Genomic DNA, 20,117 nt, shown 5'->3' with positions numbered 1-20,117 from the left:
ATAACATAGTTATCACTCATAGTTATCTTGCTCTGGATCTCCTGGTCTAAATGGACTAATGATAGTTAAGTATCTCATAGAGATTTTTTTACTCTTTTATGAAAGAAGGATGTGGAGCAAATATTTAGCAATATTTCTGACATAGAGTAAGTTCTCCATTAATTCTTGTTACTAGTGATTATCTTCTTATTATACTTATTGAAACTTTCAGTTAGAAAGAAGAAGTTAATTTAGAAATTTGGGCTATAATTTGAGTCTTAATTATTCCTTTGTCCAGCATATCCACACTGACTATGATACCCACCCATTAGTCGCTCAGTAGCTGTCTTGGTTGTCAGATTGACTGTGATAATTATCCTATTCTATTATTAATCATTGTTGTTAATCTCTTATTGTACCTAACTTATAAATTAAACTTTACCATAGATATGTACATATAGGAGAGAACATAGTGTATATAGGGTTCATTACTGTCTGAGGTTTCAGGCATCCACGGGGGGCCTTGGAATGTGTCTACCACAGATAACAGGACTACTGCACATATATTCACAGTTTAAGTTCCAATTTGCTCTCCTTAACCTCTTTCTCCACTGTAGTTCATTAAGATTTCAACATTCATGGAAACTAACTAACATGTGAGGCGATTTGGCTTTTTCTGACCTCATGCTGCTTCTTGCATTAGAACAGAACCCTGACTTCCTGCTTGCTTTCTTGTCTCACATTTACAATGATTCCACTTCTGCACTGTGGTCACACAACTTCAGGATGCTTCAGGCAGGACGGCATCTGCTTTATTCAGATCTGTGGGGTGACTGCTTTCATTTCTTTTTTCTCTTCCCTTCCTCTCCTCTTTTTCCTCTCTTCCCTCTCCTTCTTTCTCCTTTTCTCCTTGACTCTCTCTCTCCTTGTTTCTCTTTTTTATTTTTTTAAACTATATAATATACATTTTAAAATGTAGAGAATGAAGAATAATTTTAAAGCAATCACCAGTGAAATCACAAAGACAGGAAATAGAATATTTTTAGCACCTCATGTGCCTCTGTATATACTTTTCCCCGATCACAATTTCCTCCTTTTCCCAGAAACAATGCCCATCCATATTGTGTGATAATTATCTTCTTGCTCTTCTTTATAGTTTTACTTTCTACATATGTATTCACTCAATAATGTGGACTTTTCATGTATTCTCAAATTTTACTTGTGTATGTGGAATTATCCTGAAATATTCTTTTATATATATAATATTAGGTTTTGAGATTCATTTATGTTGTGATAAGTATATTTTATTTTATCGTGGAAATATACCAACATTTATTTGCCTATTTGCCTATTATACTACTGGTGTACTGCACCTTTGCAAGAATTTCTCTGGGGGTATATTCTTATCAATCAAATTATTGGATTTTAAGATTTGCACATCTTTGACTTTAAAAAATAATGCCAAACCTTTGCAAAATGGTTATAACAATTTACTTTCTCACTAATATGGTGTGAAGATTCCTAATGCTCCATATACTAATGCTTAGTGTTTCAATTTTTGCCAGCCTTGTGTGCATGTGTACTTGTATAAGCTTTTTTCTTCTTTGCAAAGAATAGACTAAAGGCTACATAATGGATGTACTATGCAAATGAATGATATCCTTGATATCTTTCAAAGTTTTTTAATATAATAGAGAATTAAGTCATGGAATAAATGCCACTGTTTTCTAAATAGTAAAAATGAAAATGAGACTAAAGAAAACACCTTAGCAAATGCAATCAATGAACTACAAGTGATTTCATAATTGTTTGCCCGGTCTTGAAAAAATTCAGTCTTTCTATTTCACTTATAATTCCAAAGTCATGTTTGGCTTTGTTTGTTTCCTAGGATTTTCATTTTACTCTTTCTGGCCATCCTTTGATAGTGTTCTGCCATCATTCAGGCCCACTCTGGACTCTTAGCCCCTTTCCAGGTTATACGTGATCACTGCTCTGGGTCAAACACTGTGAGTATTAATTTCTCCCTGATCTCAACTACTTTGAGCCTGATCAAGCCTTTATCTTTCTCCAAATCCAACTCCAAATATCAGCCCATCTGTCAGTTCCCTTCACTGTGCTCTTTGGATGCCCATTTCTATGGTGAATCATTCCCTGCATCCTTGGCCTTTTACTTGAACATTTCTTCCATGATTTCAACTTCTCTTCAAGCTTTAGAGCAAAACCTTCACCCCCTACAGAAGGAATCATGCTTTCCCCTAATTGCCTCAACTCATACATTCAAAAAGTACATTGATAAAATTACTGAAATCTACAACTATTTTATGATTATATATTCGTTCACTATCATCACAAAACAACACCTTGTCTCCTGAATAAACCTTTTCCTGTTTCTCAACATAATTATCTCTAACTCTAGAATAACTTCTTTCCATCTTTTAACCTCTGGCCTACAGTGTTTATTCTTAGTCATATTTAAAGAATAAGAATTGGGAAATGGAGAAGGGACAAAGTAGGTAAAGTTAATGGGGTAGAAATTTTAAAACACAGATTTGGAACAGCTAAACTGCTGGGTTTGGGGCTTTTTGTTTTGTTTTGCAAGGAAGAAGGAATTGAACAAAGATAATGTGCCTTGATGGTGCCAAGTCAGAGTATATGACTATGTTCTCACATGTGCTTGTACAAAGTTTTCATGGATTGCTAATTGCCTTTCCAGTGTATGCACTTTCTCCTGTTTGCTATGTTCAGACAAATCTGTTAATAAATCTTAACAAAGCTTTTATTTTAACCCTTCATGTTATACCCCTCAATGAGTTCTGAAACCAGAAGTCAAGTATTGCTATCCCACTCGGATTCTCTGCTATCATCCTTAGTGATTTCTCTATTGATGTTAAAATCTCACCAGTCTGACTTCTTCCTGTGTCCTCAACATTTTGGTCCTTGTCTTTCCTCCATATCTGCCACCTACCAACTTGGCCAATTCCATCAGATCTCGCTCTTACTTGGGATCACTCCATATCTTTAAAGCTTTTATCTTTCCTCCTTAATCACAACCTCATAGTCCTTTATCTCTTCCACTACCTCTTCTATTGAAAGTGCTTCTTCTATCATGGTCTATATTGTATTGCAGTTGAGTTTCCCCTTATTGATTTTTCCTGATTCTAAACCCAGATCATCCCCAGATAGTATCTACAGCAACTGGCCTCTTTGACTTTCTAATATAGCGTATTTACTCCAAAATAAAAATCCCTGTTTGCTATCAATTCTTGGTAGATGGTGATAGTTATATATCAGGACAGTATTTAATCCTCATTGTTGCTCAACAATTCATTTCACTATATCTTATTGCCACTCTGTTCTGTATTTGCTTTTCTAAGAACCTTCTATAACATAATTTCTCAGCTCAATTTGGTTTCCCACAGGGATTAGAGCCCTGCTCTAGAATCAGTTCTCCTTAGATTAGGTAGGATCTGAGACCCTGCTTAGCTCTAGTGAGCTGGGTGGAGCTGGATAATGTATTTTACTCCTTCTATTTCCGCAGACAGTTTTTTTGATGCTCCTTCCTTTTTTCATATATAATCTTTTTTCCTTTCATCAAAAGCACATTATTTTTGTCTTCATTCCCTAATGCAAATGTCATGTAAAGTTCTATTTTTTTCTTTTGTTTCCTCTCAATATGTGTTCTTAATAGTTTTAGCAACTAACATCTTTTCAAGTTTATTTTCTTTTTTTTCAAGATTATTTTCTATGAGAATGATTCCAAGTGTGTCTACTTAGCATTAATTGCCTTTCAAACATCTAGAATTATAATTCATATTGCTTATATGAGATCTCTACCAGGATGCAACAATTATGTTAAAAAAATCCTCACCATTTCTCAGGAAACAATGCATTCAAGCTGAATTCGTGCTGATGTCTGATGCCTGTGATTAATGGCATCATAATCCACAGAAACCAAGAGCTGACCTACAAATATTACTGTTAACTTTTATGTGTGTGTCTGACATTCCCCACCCCATAATATCTAATAAGTCCTATTGATTCATCCTTTCTAAGGAGCTGTCATAGCTGCTGCACTTCTATCACCACTCACACAAACACACAGGTACCTACCATGTTAATCTTTTATTTCTTCTGACACCACCATGGCTCATCACTGGCTACTTTCTACTTGGATTATTTGCAACAATAATCTGATCTTCCAGCTGATCTACTAAGTACCAGAATACATATGGCATAGTTCTACAAATAAGACAGTTCCAATAATTTCACTCTCTTACAAATAAGCATTTCTTATTTTTTACTAATATATTTCTCTAACTGTATCTTTCACTACTCTGCCTCACTTACTATGTGTTTTCATGTAGGCTCATTTTTCCTCCTTCTCTTCCAATGAAAGTCTTGACTTTTATGTAAGGATAGCCAAAATCATTTTCAGTTATATATTTTTTAACAAAAAGCATTTAAAATCCAACCTTCAATACAAACCAGAATTAATCTCTACTTCATTTAAATTTCTTTTGCATGTAGCACTATTCTTTCAGAAATTATCATATTTCATATGACCATAAACATTTATGCAGATTTTTTATCTTATGCAGTATTGATTTTTTATATCTTCCAAAAGAGCATCTTCCATACTTGGAATCAATTAGCCAGGATTTTCCAGTGATACTGACAAGTTTCACATAGACACACAAATTCCATAAAAACAAAATATTCAGCCAATTTAATTTAAAATGGACAACTTAGTATAGTAGTTCGACACACTAATGCTTTGGAATCATATCAAAAAAGCAACTGGTTAATTAATGAAATGGTTTCACTCTCAACATGGATTTGATGTTGCGTAGACATAGAAAAAATAAGGAAAATAAACAATATAACCTGTTAAATATGGGATTTTTGCTGTTGTATTGCTTTATATATGCCATGGAGGCTTCATAAGAAGAGGCCACTTTTATTGAATTACATCTAATTCTGTTTGAAAATAAACCAAATACCATATTTTTAGTATCTTGGAAGCATGATTCTAATTTTGTTGCCAACATTCTGCTGTCCCATTTGTTATTAACATCTATTCTTGTTTGTCATTTAAATAGATAAGAAGTGTATCAGAAGCAGAGCTCTAATGGTGGGACTAAAATAATCTAATTAGAAATAATTTTCATTAAGATACATTTATTTGTCTGAGTCAACGGTGACACTGTGTTGTAGGAATTTGAGGACTATACTTTTCATACTGTTAAAATTTAGACAATTAAAGCATCGTTCTATTTAAATCTTATCTCTACCAATTATTAGTTGTGTGACATTGGATCAACTAGTCCTTTTTTCATGTACCTTTCTTTATCTATAAAGTGAGGGACACAATTTTAACTACTTGTGAGGATTAAATTGGTTTATACGTATAAAGATTTTCAAATAGCTCTTGGCATATGGTAAACATTCAATAGGCAATAATAAATTTAATTATACTTATTCATAATTCCAGGGTTTTTTTTCATTACACTATACTACACTGATACTTATACATATCTGTGATTATCTCTTCAGTTCTTGCCCATAATCATAAATCTTGCCCATAATCATAAATCATATATCTTTTTTACAAATAAAAAACAAAATATGTTTAAAATAGTTTTTTTAAATCAATAAGTGCTATAAGCAGATAAGTGACTTCATTCTCTTTAATTTTAGTACATTATTTAATAACAGCTGTACATCCCTTTTTATGTATTCTAAAATACTAGAGTTCTTACGTTAAACTATTGGTTACATTTCTATAAATGTAGAGGTCAATTTAATGTGTTTATATTTTTGACTTTCACTCCAGAGGAAAAAGAAAAAAAAACAATTGACCAACCAAATTAAAGTGAAAATAACAATAGAATTGTTAACTAAATCTTAAGAAACATTAAGAATCTTGTTTAGAACACTAGATTGGGACGTTAGGAGGCCTGTGTTCTAGTCTAGTGCCTGCTTTTAAGTAACCTGTTCTTGGGAAAGTCATTTTTATCTCTTTGTCCCTTATTTTTCTCATGTAGAAAAGAACAGTTTGAGCTATATGGGCTTCTGGAAACTTTCCTAAAAGGCTCAACTATTCACATTTTAAACTCTTTCCAGAAGGATCCTTTAGGGGAAACTTTTAAGCAAGGGTGGCTCCTGCACCCAATTCATAAGGATATTGTCTCACGCATCTGGAACTGGCAGCTGGGTGCTGCAAGGATGCCCTTTGGAGGGGAATGCCAAGCACTGCAAGGCCGAAATTGTTGGTTTCTGTTTTATATCTTTCTGGGCCCACTGATGCCACATGTTGCCTACGGTGGTCATGTGAGTCCGAAAGTTTAGAAAAGTGTGCAAAGACCCCAGTGGGTGATTCTCAGTAGCATGTAAGTGGAGAATATTTTAAGACTATTGCTTCAACTTGGGAAAGGCACAGTGAGGTTAAAAGAGAGAGAAAGGGAGATGCCTGCAGGACATAATACCTACATAGAGGGGCCACCCCACCTATGGTTTGATGGGAATGCTCTTTGTGGCTTATGACAGGAGAAAACTTTTCCTTTTGTGAGTGAATAAAGATTGAGAGAAGCCAAAGAAAATGCCAAGAAGAAAAACTACTCAATTCTCTTAATCTCCATGAAATGAATCTAAAACTTTGTGCAGCCTCTTCAGTATATATGGATTTTTGGCTCACATCTTATCAAATTTTGAGGTTGTTCACATGGGCTTATCCATTTCATAATATTTTCAAGGACCTAGGATTTTTCTATCTTTCCAGCATGCCATGGTTATGTACATGTTTGACATATGGGATTTTGTTCTTATACAGGCAGCATAGCACCTTCAGATGCAGGTATCTTGTTCTTATTGAAGAAGGTAAGAATGGGAGAACCAGTACCATGGAGCCTTTGGAAGGAAGCACATATTACCCAGGAACTCTCTGTAGACTTTTGTTTACATCTCATTGTCCAGCATGACTAACAGTTGTCACTTCCACTTGCAACATTGGGTGGGAAAGTGGATATTTAGCTTTTCTAGATTTTATAGCAGAAGCAGACAAAGAAAAACGGTTTTAAAGGCCTGTTATTCCATAAAACAAAATGTAGTTGCCACAATTAGGGATCTGCAGACCATGTCACCTGAGAAATAATTGCAAATTTCAGGACAACTGCATAGCATGTTTAGTTAGAAGAAGGAAGATTTAGAAAAGCCATAAAACTATTTCTAGACTTTTAAATTTAGATTTTGTGAAATAAAGTTTACTCACATTTTCTGTATACATTAGTTCTCTATCAGGGAGAAGTTTGCAGCAGAAACAGCTGTTCCAGATATGATGGATTCTCCAAAGTGGAAGAACATTCTGAAGTTTGAGTTTTAGGTGGAAAATTTTTAAATAATCTACTATAGATATTGCAGAGGGGATTCTTATGTTAGTTCAAGGAGAGGATCTATTTACTTTTAAGTTTGTTTCCAATATATTTATGATCTGCTTCTAATCTCCCTTACATGTCTTCAACAAATTGAAACATCATTTGTGAACTCTGGAAAAAGTTTCTAATATAGCATCAAGTTTACATTAGGTAGAGTCTTAAAACTATCATTGACAAGGTTTTTTACTTGACTCTCAAAGAAAAGGCCAATTATTTTTTGAATCTAATTAAGCATTTAATGAGTTTTGCTTTATATAAAATCACGTTTTGCAAATGTGTAAAGTGATAAATAGGCAAGGTGACATATGAGAAATATCCATTGTTTTAGAATACTTCCCATTATCATCTGACCATTAGATGTACTTCAAAGTAATACTGTTGCTCTCATAACTCATGGAATATAGTTTGTAATAACAATCATCTTCTCAAATTGGTCATTACCAAAGTTAATGACCTGTTTATTAGAACATCAACCTTGGCTTTGCCTCAGTCTCTTAATTAACACATCTGTCATTTACTACTAGTGGCTAAAATTTCTGTGTAGAGGACAGCTCCAATAATGATGGCACCATTAAAGCGACATCTCTGTATATTTGGATGGATCATCAAATTTGCATTGGCCTATCACAAACAGAATCCTGTGAGGCTTCAAGTAGTTTTGGCAGCCCAAAATGGTGAAATATAAACAGCAAATAGAACAACATTAGCCTCCTTTGTGAAACATTTGCATTGAAAATTATTTATCATCACTGTTGAAAAGGATAATCCCACAGCACAATTTTCAGTGCATTCCCTTGCAGAGAGCCATTCCTACCAATACTGGTAAACAAACCCACTCAAATTACAAGCCCTTCCAGATACACACACTTTCCCTTGCCACATCCATTCATTCAATCATTCAAGAAATATTGTCACATTACATTATGTAGATGCCATTAGCAAGTTAATAACATATTGACGTTTCCAAATGAACATCTGTAATATGCATGAGCATTGAAACATTGGCATTTTTAAAGGAAATGCAGTATCATTTTCCTAAAATGAGCTGATAGGTACTCAGTTTTTAAACCTTCATATGAAAATTAGACTCGCAGATTATAATACATTGATAAAACACAACAAAACAGGAAAATAACAAAATACAATCTCCTATAGTGTTAATTTTTGTTCTTTAAAAGATTCTGAAAATGACATAAATAAATGGCTATTAAAATGCTGATGTCAACGGAAAAATGTTAACTTTGATGTAATAGCTATCCTCTCAACCATGTAGGAAACACAAGTAGACTGCAAGCAATGTTTTACCATCTTATTTGGAGGATAAATCATTTTATTATTCTTCAGGATCTATTTTGAATGATCATGGAAAGGCTGAGGCAATAAAGTGGTCTTACAGGGTGTAAGACCATATGACATACAGGTCCATATGTACGTCATGAATCCATGATTCCTGGAGCTTTTGGAAAGAGACTAGTACATACAATAATACTATTAGCTTCAAACGAGGGGTTAAAAAGATGGAAATAAGGCAACAAAGCCACAGTAACTTTTTTTTGGCCAACATTTTTTATCCTTTCAGCTGTGTGTTAGAAAAATATGAAACCCCAGCTCATTGGGAGGCCGAGGCAGGCAGATCATGAGGTCAGAGATCGAGACCATCCTGGCCAACATGGTAAAACCTTGTCTCTACTAAAAATAAAAAAAAATTTCTTGGCGTGGTGGCATGTGCCTATAGTCCCAGCTACTCAGGAGGCCGAGGCAGGAGAATCGCTTGAACCTGGGAAGCGGAGGTAGCAGTGAGCCGAGATCATGCCACTGCATTCCAGCCTGGGCGACAGAGCCAGACACTGTCAAAAAAAAAAAAAAAAAAAAAAAAAAAAAAAAGAAAGAAAGAAAGAGAAAGAAAGAGGTTACTAGGTTTCTATTCGCATAGATTTCTTTGGGGAAAAATTATATTTTAATATATTTAATCATGGCATACAAATTTTGTTAATCTATAAATATTAGTGAAAATATAATGAAATTATAGACGCCTGGTTTAAACTCATTTAATTCTAGACCAATGCCCAGTCATGTGTGATTTGGCCCTTGCCCATCTCTCCAAGCTCATCTTCCTCCACTCTCTTTGTCCCAATCAATCTACTTTTTGTCCCTTGAAAACACTAAGTATATTACCTTCCAAGGGCCCTGCTATCCTATTGTTTGCAATACTGCTCTCTATTTCTCTTCATTAAGCTCTTGATTAAAATGTCAACTCTTCAGGGCTTTTCTTCATGAGATTAATAACTACATAATATTATCTTATTTACTTATTTCTGTTGTTTCTTTTCTCTTTTATCCCACTAGAATGTAAGTTTCTTGAAGCAAGGTCTTTGGCTCTCAGGTCTCCTACTGTATCCTCAGTTACTAAAATTTGACACAGATTAAAACACACAACAGATCCAAAAAGTATTTGTTAAGGACTAAATGATATAAGTCTTCTCAGGGCAACAAGAGTTTTTAAATAAGGTATAATTATATTTCATCAAGGTGCAAATCTTAATTGTCCAGTTTGAAATGTTTTGGCAAGGTGTATATATATAAAATTTCCATGCGGTCAATGCCCAAATCAAGGGCAAAGACTTTTAAAACTGAAATGGAAATTATTTCTTTTCAAAAGTTCCTGTGGATGAGATATTTTGCTTTCAAAATGAAATCATGAAGAGCCCCAAGTGGTAAAATGTGGTATCTTACCCAGTCGATTTACATGAAATTTTGATGAGGAAATATTTCTAGTCTTTGAGATACTGCTTGCAAATTCAAGCAAAGAAGCTAAAAACAAAATTTTAAATGATGGTAATGACTGGGGAAAAAAACCTGTAAGATTAAGTTAATCTTCCCAAGTTATTTACTTCAATTGTTTTTGGGTGTGGTTGATTTTAGGCTTTGAAATTTTTAAAAGCAGTATGTACCAATGTGGATATGCTTCAGGAGGTCCGTTACACTCAAAGTTTTAACCGAAAGCCTGATTTGAAACTTCTGAAGATTGTCAAACTGCAAAGAAGAAAATACTGTCTTCACTGTTCCTTTCATATAGACTAATCATATAGACCAGTTTGCCCAAGAAAATTCCTGTCTACACATAGCTGTTTCAGTGTAACTCTTAGTAGAACCCCCATTCATTCTAAAAAAAGTGTCCATAATTATATGGTCACCCAACTTTTGCACCCTTTTTAAAGAAAGATGAATACTGATTTTTTGGCACCATGAAACTCTTTAGCTCTCTGTCTCTTTTTAACCTAGATGATAGATTTTGATTTAAAAAGTAGTTGCATTTTCAAGAAAGAAGAAACAACACAGCAGACATTGATTGCTGCCTTGACCTCATTATGTTGATAAGGGCATTTGTGAATATTGTCTCTAAGTTACACCCCAGGTAGAAGGTTAATGACACATTTAGCATCCGTGGGGTGCTGGACAGTTTTTCACAGAAAAACCAGTTCAAGCTGGTAAACCTTCTGTCCTGCCCATGTAGAACAAAAATGCACCATGTTTCTACAAATGGGATATAATTCAAGAAGTGGCAAACAGTGTGCTGAGAATTCAGAAACTGGCTGACTACATTGTTTTGCTAAAGAATAACAAACTTAAAATGTTGTCAAGTCATTTTTTTAACAGCAATTTTCTATAATCTTTTGAGCCTCCTGCTATTACTTTGCTAATCCGGATCTTACTGCTGGCTGACACTAAAGACAGCATTATGACAAATTTATGAACGGATGAGTCATTTTCCACATTCATTCAGCTAATGAGAAAAACAAGTCATTATTTTTTAAGCCTGATTATCACTCCTTTAATACAAGGAGCACATACAAATGACATTATGCTGCTTTCCCTCAAAAATAACCCTGTGCTAAGACTAACAGCATCTACAGGCTAAAGATGTCTGGTATACTCGAAATTGGAAAGAACTGATTCAAAAATTCTCACTGATTCTATTAAATCTATTAAATGTTGGCATTAGAATCTACTGCCATTACTACAAATTAGAATTTCAGTAGTTTAAATCATGTGAATTATCAGTAGCTTATACATGCCTGGGCTTTTGATTAATTAGTCATAAAAGCATTGAACACTCACTAAGGGGGATAAACAATCTGGGATTACTGCTTGGGACATTATAAAAGAGGAGAGACGTGTCCAGTGTAATAGAAGAGGGAAGACATCAATGTAAAGGGTAGCTAAAAGTGAGGCAGTGAAGAATCAGAACTGAATAAGTGGAAGTGGCAGGACATTTGGAGGAATTCAGGAAAGACAGGGTTCCCTGTGAACTTAGAAGTGCAACTTGAAGTGCAAGCCAGATGGGGCTTAACTTTCAACTATGTTCAAATTTCTGCAACCAAGAAAAGCATGACAAGTGTAGTGTTGTATTTCACTTTTGACTGGCTGTGAGCTCTTTATACTGGATGTGAGTTTCATGTAAGAGTTTATGAGAAAGTCTGTGGGGCTTCAGTGTTAAAAATAATTTCTGGTTCGAGCTCTCCGTTAAATTGCTGCCTGATTCTTGAATGCACTATTGAGACAAAGAAAGGGAAATTTTCAGAATTATTGTGAATAATGTAAAAGGCAGTCAAGAAGGAAAGAGGGATACCTTGAATGACTAATTCAAATTTCAAGTCTTGTCTATTGTAAGCCTTAAAACTGCAATAAGGAATATTATTTGAAACTATCAGATTATAAAGTTAAGGTGAGTCAATCTTTTGGAGTTTATGAGCATATAAGCAATGACACTCGAAAAATTGATGCTTTAATGAAAATAATTAACTCAGTGTATTAGTCCATTTTCTCACTGCTGTTAAAGACATGCCAGAGACTGAGCAATTTACAAAGGAAAGAGGTTTAAGGAACGTACAGTTCCATGTGGCTGGGAAGGTCTCACAATCATGGCAGAAAGTCAAAGCACATCTCACACGGCAGCCAACAAGAGGAGAGAGCTTGTGCAGGGAAACTCCCATTTTTAAAACCATCACATCTTGTGAGACTTATTCACTATCAGGAGAAGAGATGGCAAAGTCTTGTCCCCATGATTCAATTACCCTCCACTGGGTCCCTCCCACAACACATGGGAATTCAAGATGAGATTTGGGTGAAAACACAGCCAAACCATATCACTCAGAAAGTCATTAAAACTATTAAAAGTCTTTCTAAATAGGAATATTTTTGTATTCATAATAACAAATTGAAAATTGTTGTCATAAACATAATATAATTAAATCTCATTTATGACTCAAGATCTTGTATTAAAATTTATCTGCACCAATATTGTTTTTGGGAGCAGAAAAATGCTCCTTTCTGTCCCCCAAAGATATCTACATTCTAATTCCTAAAATCTATGACTATGTTAATTTACATATGAAATGGATTTGTGATATGATTAAATTAAAACCCTGAGATAAAGAGGTTATTCTGGATTAATAGGTGGGTCTAATCTAATTGCATTGATCCCTAAATCAGATAACATTTTCCAGTTATGGAACCCTTTCCTCTTATCAGAAGAAGAGGGAGATGTGACTGAAAAAAGAATGATCAGAGAGATACAACAGTTTTTGGATTTGAAGATGGAGAAAAAGAGCCAGAGCCAAGGAATGTGTGTGTCCTTTAGGATTTGGAAAAGGCAAAAAATGGTTTTACCCCAGAGAGCCTCAAGGAGGAATCACAATTCTTCCACCACCTTGATTTTAGTCTGGTGACACCAATGTCAACCTTCTAATCTACAGAACAGTAAAATAATAAATTTACACATTTTAAGACACTAAACTTGTGATAATTTGTTATGGCAGTGATAGAAATCTAATATATATTTCTCATGGTAGAGAATTTGTGGTAGGGAAATTCTAAGCATAATCATCCCTTCCCTCCAAAAGATTTACTTCCCTAATCCTCCAGACTCTAAATATGATGACTCATCATACTCTTGAATATGTTAAGGTACTTAGCAAAAGAGATTCTGCAGATTCAATTAAGATCAGTTGGCCTTAAAAATTTATGAGATTATAATGGGTTGTCTGGGTGTGTCTAATATAATCACTGGAGTTCTTTAAAAAAGAGAGAGTTTTCCTGTTCAGTAGAAGGGAAAACAAAGAGATTGGAAATACAGGGACTCAACTCCCCATTGCTGGTTTAGAATTAGAATAAGCTATGTAAGAAAGAATGTGAATGGTCTTTAGAAGCTGAGGTCTGGCTCTGGCTGACAGCAGCAAGGAAATGAGGACTTCAGTCCTAGAGCCACAAGGAACCAAACTCTGCAAGTATGTGAGTTTGGAAGCAGATTCCTTCCCAGAGCCTATGGATAACAGCTCATCCAAGCTAACACATTGGTTTTGGTCTTGTGGTACTCCGAGTACAGAACTTGGCAGAGCCTATCCAGACTTCTGTTCTACAGCACTGTGAACTAATAAGTGGGTGTCTTTTTATACCACTAATTTTATGGTAATTTGGTACATATCAGTAGAAAGTTAATACAGAGTTCTAAGGCTTGTTGACCACTCTTTAATATCAAACATTATATAGGGCCATCCATATATATGAAATGCAGTGCACCATGAAAAACAGAGTGTGGTTTGAAGTAAAACAAACTTAAGTTAAATATACTTCTCTCTTTTACTAACTTCTTTATATTAGACAATTTGTTTAACTTTGGTAAGCCTTACGTTTGCTTTTTTAAAATGAAGCTAAGTGTGCCTGTCCGAAATGAGTCTCTGGAAAGCATTGATGATAATGACTGGTGAGTAGTAGGTGATCAACCAGCAAGAAAAATCAACTTCCAATTTAAAGCACTCTTCTTCCATCCTTTGATTCACAAGTGGAGAAATAAAAAATAAAGATGGAGAACGACAAAGACCAGGCTGGAGCATGTGCCTTTAAGCCTATTAGGCAATTGGATTTGCTAAAACCAAAGCCTAGATTTAGGGAAAATTTACTGTCTGGTTGTAAAAAGGCCAAAAGTCCTTCACATGACTAGCATTGGGGGAGAAGCAGCAGCTATACTCCTTGAAGACAGCTTGCTCTCAAGAGAAGGAAGGATAGAGCTGAGCCTAGAGTGCACATTATCTTCCTCAAGTTTATTGGTCAGAGAAATTTTGTTATTACTTCCAAGAATAGAGACAGGAATAGTATGAAGAGAGGGCAAAGATTTACTTAGGAAAAAATAAATATGACTTTGTTAAAATCAAGGTTAAAGTGCAGAAATGGGCACTATGAGATTTAACAACTCGTCTGTGCTAACCCAGAAAAGTAGTAAACCCAGGACTTGAATTCATGCATGTAAGACTCTAGGGCTTTTGCAATATCTTTCACAAATACACCAGGAATGCAAATGTAGAAATTAAACAATAAAACAGAATCTGAATAGAAGACCTATTTAAATTAAATCTTTAAATTTAACTTTTTCTACCATTCTTATCTGTATCCTAAGAAAAAATGCAATGAAAGCTCTGGTTAAAAGAGAGTTTTCTTAAGTCTTTCATTTAAATAAATTTCTACTATATCACTGAAGACAAACTTCCCTAAAATAGATCATTCTAAAATGAACTACAACACCACAGCATTTTATAGAAGAAATAAATAAAATGTTAATGATAAGTAATTTTAGAACAGTTTAATGAGCACTTAGATATTAATAATGACCTATGGAAATATATTTTTTCTTCAGTATGACTTTAAGTGGTGCACATGTTGTAGTATGGAAGTTATTAAATGGCCTTAAAAACAGGTTTTGTTTTCAGGAGCCCAGAATTAATAAATGAATATATTCAACCGTAATGTAGCAGTGGATTGGGCTGAGCCTTTGGGTTTTACTTGAGTTTCTCTGCAGTTCATTAAACAACCCCACAGGGCCTACCAATCCTTACTTAAGCCACATATACAAAAGATCTTAAATAAATTTATTCTAGTTGTCATGGCTAATTTGTTCAGCTGACTGATTTCTCAAACTGTCAAAAGTCATAATTTTACAAATAAAATTAGAAAGCTACAAACTACACAGTTATAAACTATCTTCTATTATTTGACTCTTATCAGATACAGTGAAAAGTTAAATACATACAGTGACTTAAAAATATTTGAAAGTAAGAAATAAATATTTCTAGATAATAAAAACCTGCACAGATTGTTTTTGTAACAAAAGTATACATGACATGGCCAGTGTGGTGGCTCACAGCTATAATCCCCAGCACTTTGGGAGGCCGTGGCAGGCAGATCACCTGAAGTCAGGAGTTCTAGACCAGCCTGGCTAACATGGCGAAACCCTGTCTCTACTAAAAATACAGAAGTTAGCTGGGCGTGGTGGTGCATGCCTATAATCCCAGCTACTTGGCGGCTGAGGCAGGAGAATCTCTTGAATCCAGAAGGCAGAGGTTGCAGAGAGCCAAGATGGTGAGACTCTGTCCCCCCACAAAAAACAACAACAATAAAAAATGACATTTTACGATATCTTAACGATTATTATTATCATATTTTATAGAGTGCAAGACAAGGAAATCTAAACTTTTTGCATGCCTGCCTCCTGGCCACATGGATCAAAGCCTTAGAAAAACTGTTTTTCTAAGACATGTTGCCAAGAAGCCCAGAATTTCGGAAATAGTGCTTGGAGCAGGAAGACGTCAGCTGACTTTATGTAATACACTCTGGGACAGAGGCAAAGACAGACTTCAGATGCTTGCTTTTACATCCCCTATTGGATAAAAAACGTTATGTAGCTTAGACCACCACTGTGAAATGGTTTGCCACATTCCTAGTCCTGTGCCCAAAACACCTAGTTTAGTGTCATGTGATGTATGGCTATCCAGTAGACACTAATTGATCTGAATAAAACATGTGAACTGTGAACACAATGAAAAATGTAGAAGGAAGTTCAGAATAATTACAGAATTCCAGGAAAGCCTGTGTCATGTGTTTGATGTTACTGGATGACATGCTGCCAGTGTTTTAATTTGAAATTCTTCCTTATCATGACACCAAATGTATCATGATGTAGGACTTACTTTAACACATCATATGGCTGCAGTGTTATATTTATTTCTGCTAATTTTTGTATAGTTATTCATAGTATGAATAGGAGCCTTTTTACATAGATTCAAATGTCTCCCAGTTCACAAATCTTTTTAGTAATCTGACCCTATCTTAATACTTTGGCAATGGTTGTTTTACGGACAGCCTGAAGAAATGTATGTTCAATACTAAGAGAAAAATTTAAAAGAGCTAACTGATATTTCCTTTTATTTACCCTATAGGATTATAAGATTGGCTTTGTTTGTGAGTAGTCCATTTGTATGGTTATATACAATGTTTCTTTTAAGTTTTATTTTACCTACTATTTGCCCTGAATGGAACATTTTCCTGTTGGCAAGATTTGTTATCATTATAGATAAATCTCTGGTGAAAAGTGGACAAACAAACCCTTGCAGGATGCAGTGGCTGGGGATATTGAAAGAAATATATGTATTCCAAATAAAATGTATAATTAGTTGTTCATAGAAGAACCTGCTTTTTTTGCTTGTATTAGTGAGCCCTAAGAAAGTTCGGGAAATCATTTAGAATTCAATAATAGGTTATCATCAATCTCTGCCAAATAAATAGAATAAATTATTTTTATTATTCATTATGGGATCCATTACATATTTATTGAACTTCTACTATATGTCAGACATTGTTTTAGGTGCTGGGGATATAGGTAGAAATAAAACAATCTAGAGAAAGTGTGGCTCATCTTGCTTGGCAATACATTTTGACTTCTCTTTATCTGTTATTTCTCAATGTGCATCTATTGCCCTTCTATTTCACACCATAATTGTTATTATATTTATTAAATTATTGATCATATTATTACATAAAAATTATTACAACAAAAGCTCATGTAATTGATGAAAGAACTAGGGTCAAAGAATCCAGGCATTTAGCATCCCAACAGCAAGCCTTCTATAGAATCACTGTCTACACTTTATTTTCCTCCAAGCCCTTTCCTTTAAAACTGTCTCTACCTCCCCTCACATACAGAAACTCTTCATATTTCTTCCATCCCCTTATTTTTAATGTAATTTTTAATTTTTAAAATAATGTTATATTTTTCCCATTGCTTTCCAACCTCCTTCTCTATCCCTTTCATTTTTTTCCTCTCTTTTTTCATTTTTTTTCTTTTACAAATATTGTGAGTAAATTCTGTGGGTTAAGCATTTAAAAAGATCCAGCAAGAGCACAGTATAAAATATTTTTTATATAAATTGTCTCATTTGATTCCCTAACCTCTTTACATAGATAATATTAACTTCATTTTATAAAGCACCTGAGCCTCAGGAAAAAAACATCATTTCTTAAAGAATACAGAACTAACACAAAACAAAATCCAATATGAGAATTCTACAAAAATGTCCCAGAAAAACATGCCTCTTAGTTGCTTTCCTACATGAAGCCATATGGATTTTCCAAGCATTGAGGTTCTTCAAAACATGGCAACTATGAAAATGTGTTATCGTGGAAGTTTATTAAAATGTAGTTTGATTACTAAAATGTAGTTTGATTATTAAAATTGATGAATTACTTTGCTAATTAAATAATTTTCAGAAATAACCCATGCCAATATAATTTTTATTTAATTGGCAAACTATTTATTGATCATTTCAAAGATTCTCACCTGGTTTTAACCTTTAAAGTCATCTATTTTTCCTTATACTATTTGACTTATGACATAAATAATATCTAATAAGATATAAAGCTCAAAAAATAATTTTTCTCAAGATTAAAACAGGATGTAGAATTAGAATACCATGATTTCTTTAATGGCAACTAATATTCCTCAAGCCTTTATTTGCTTTTTATAAGACACTGATTCATTATTTATTTCAAAATGCCATGACTGTATTCCTTATGAAAAATTTTTAAGGCTGGGCTCAGTGGCTCATGCTTGTTATCCAAGTACTTTGAAAGTGCAAGGTGGGTTGATTGCTTGAGCCCAGGAGTTCAAAACCAGCCTGGGCAACATGGTGAAATACCATCTCTACAAAAAATAGAAAAATTAGCCAGGCATCGTGGCATATGCCTGTAGTCCCAGCTACTTGAGAGGCTGAGGTGAGAGGATCACCTGAGCCTGAGGAGGTTGAGACTGCAGTGAGCCATGATCCATGCCACTGCACTCCAGCATGAGGGACAGAGTGAGGCTCTGTCAAAAAAGAAAGAAAGAAAGAAAGAGAGAGAGAGAGAAAGAAAGAAAGAAAGAGAAAGGAAGGAAGGAAAGAAGGAAGGGAGGGAGGGAAGGAAGGAAGGAAGGAAGGAAGGAAAAGAAAAGAAAAGAAAAAGGAAGGAAGGAAAGAAATAAGAAATATGTGTATACATTGCCTAAAAAATGGTTTTTAGAGTTGAGACATATAGCCATTTAGTTCACAGAGATTCACAGAAATTCACACAATTTATAATCTTGGCTCTCATTTTCTTGCTAAGTTCTTGATTTTCCTTTTTCTTGATTTTTCCCCTTTTGCTTTATTGTAAGCAAGACAGAAATCACTTTTTTTCTGATAATCTGAAGTGCTGTCAGCTCTTGAGAGGGCAACTGAATGATTCCATTCCTTTTAGGTATTGAAAAATTAATTAAGATTAAGTTAATTGTATAAAGCTTGGATTTCTCTGTAAATTATTATCCCGCCTGTAGTATATAGTATTAAATACTGATTAATAGAAGTCTGAATAAGGTTTTTACAATATACTCTGAGTAACTGAAATTTCACTTCAAAGAGTTTAGCTCTTGTGATTATGTAAGAAAGCATGTGTTTTATGTTGTTGGTGATATATAAAATGTATTGTATAGAAGAGAGATTCTCCAACACATTATTGCAAAGGTAATATCTCCAAATATCACCAAATATCTCAATTCATAAGACAGCAAGATTCATGTTAGGAATTGGGAGATTTTCCAAAATACTAATTGTGGCAGACATTAAAAGATCGAAAGGATAAAGACAGATATCTGGATTAGCCATCATGAGAAGGTGACTTCTGCTCTTGCAGAGGCATTTTCATTAAGGTGGTGTTTTTAAAGCTTCAAGGATTTGGGACAGTGATGATGGTAATATCAGACTCATGGGTAGCATTCTTTGTAGTAATAAATTTTCATAATTAGCACTTTTTTCATAACTCATTGAACATCAGCTATTTATAGTCAAGGAAGTATAGATTAAAGAACCTCAAGAAGAACCACAAATACCTTTTCAGATAACAAGCTAAATGGATTACTATAACCTATGTCTGTGCTGTTCTTTTTTTTTTTAATACCTAGAATTTCAATATCTATGTTATGCCTGGAGTACCATTGAGTGGCTCACTAATTTGATCAAAAGTGGAACAAAAGATTAGTAGTAGAAAGCATTAAATGAACATGATCTCTAAAATCCCATTTACCTATAACATTCTTTGCTTCACATGCATTCTGCTTCTAAAACGACTTTTAACCCTGGAGACATTAGGCCAGTGTTGTTCTGAAAAGGCAATGCTAAAAACAGTTACTCTGTTAAACTGCCGAGTAAATCCATGCTATTTATTCCAGAGGTTCCCTGAGAGTCATTACAATGCACTAAGAGAGTTTTTATTCATTGACCTAATCAAGAGCAGTTGAAAGTAGAAGTTATGTTTTCCAAAAGGTGCCCTTATCCATGACTGAACAATATGAGCTTGATAAATTAGTGA

This window comes from Homo sapiens, chromosome 4 (genome assembly GCF_000001405.40).
Source record: "Homo sapiens chromosome 4, GRCh38.p14 Primary Assembly".
NCBI classification, from domain to species: domain Eukaryota; kingdom Metazoa; phylum Chordata; class Mammalia; order Primates; family Hominidae; genus Homo; species Homo sapiens.
The sequence above is the reverse complement of the archived record's forward strand: the minus strand, read 5'-3'. Positions refer to the sequence as shown.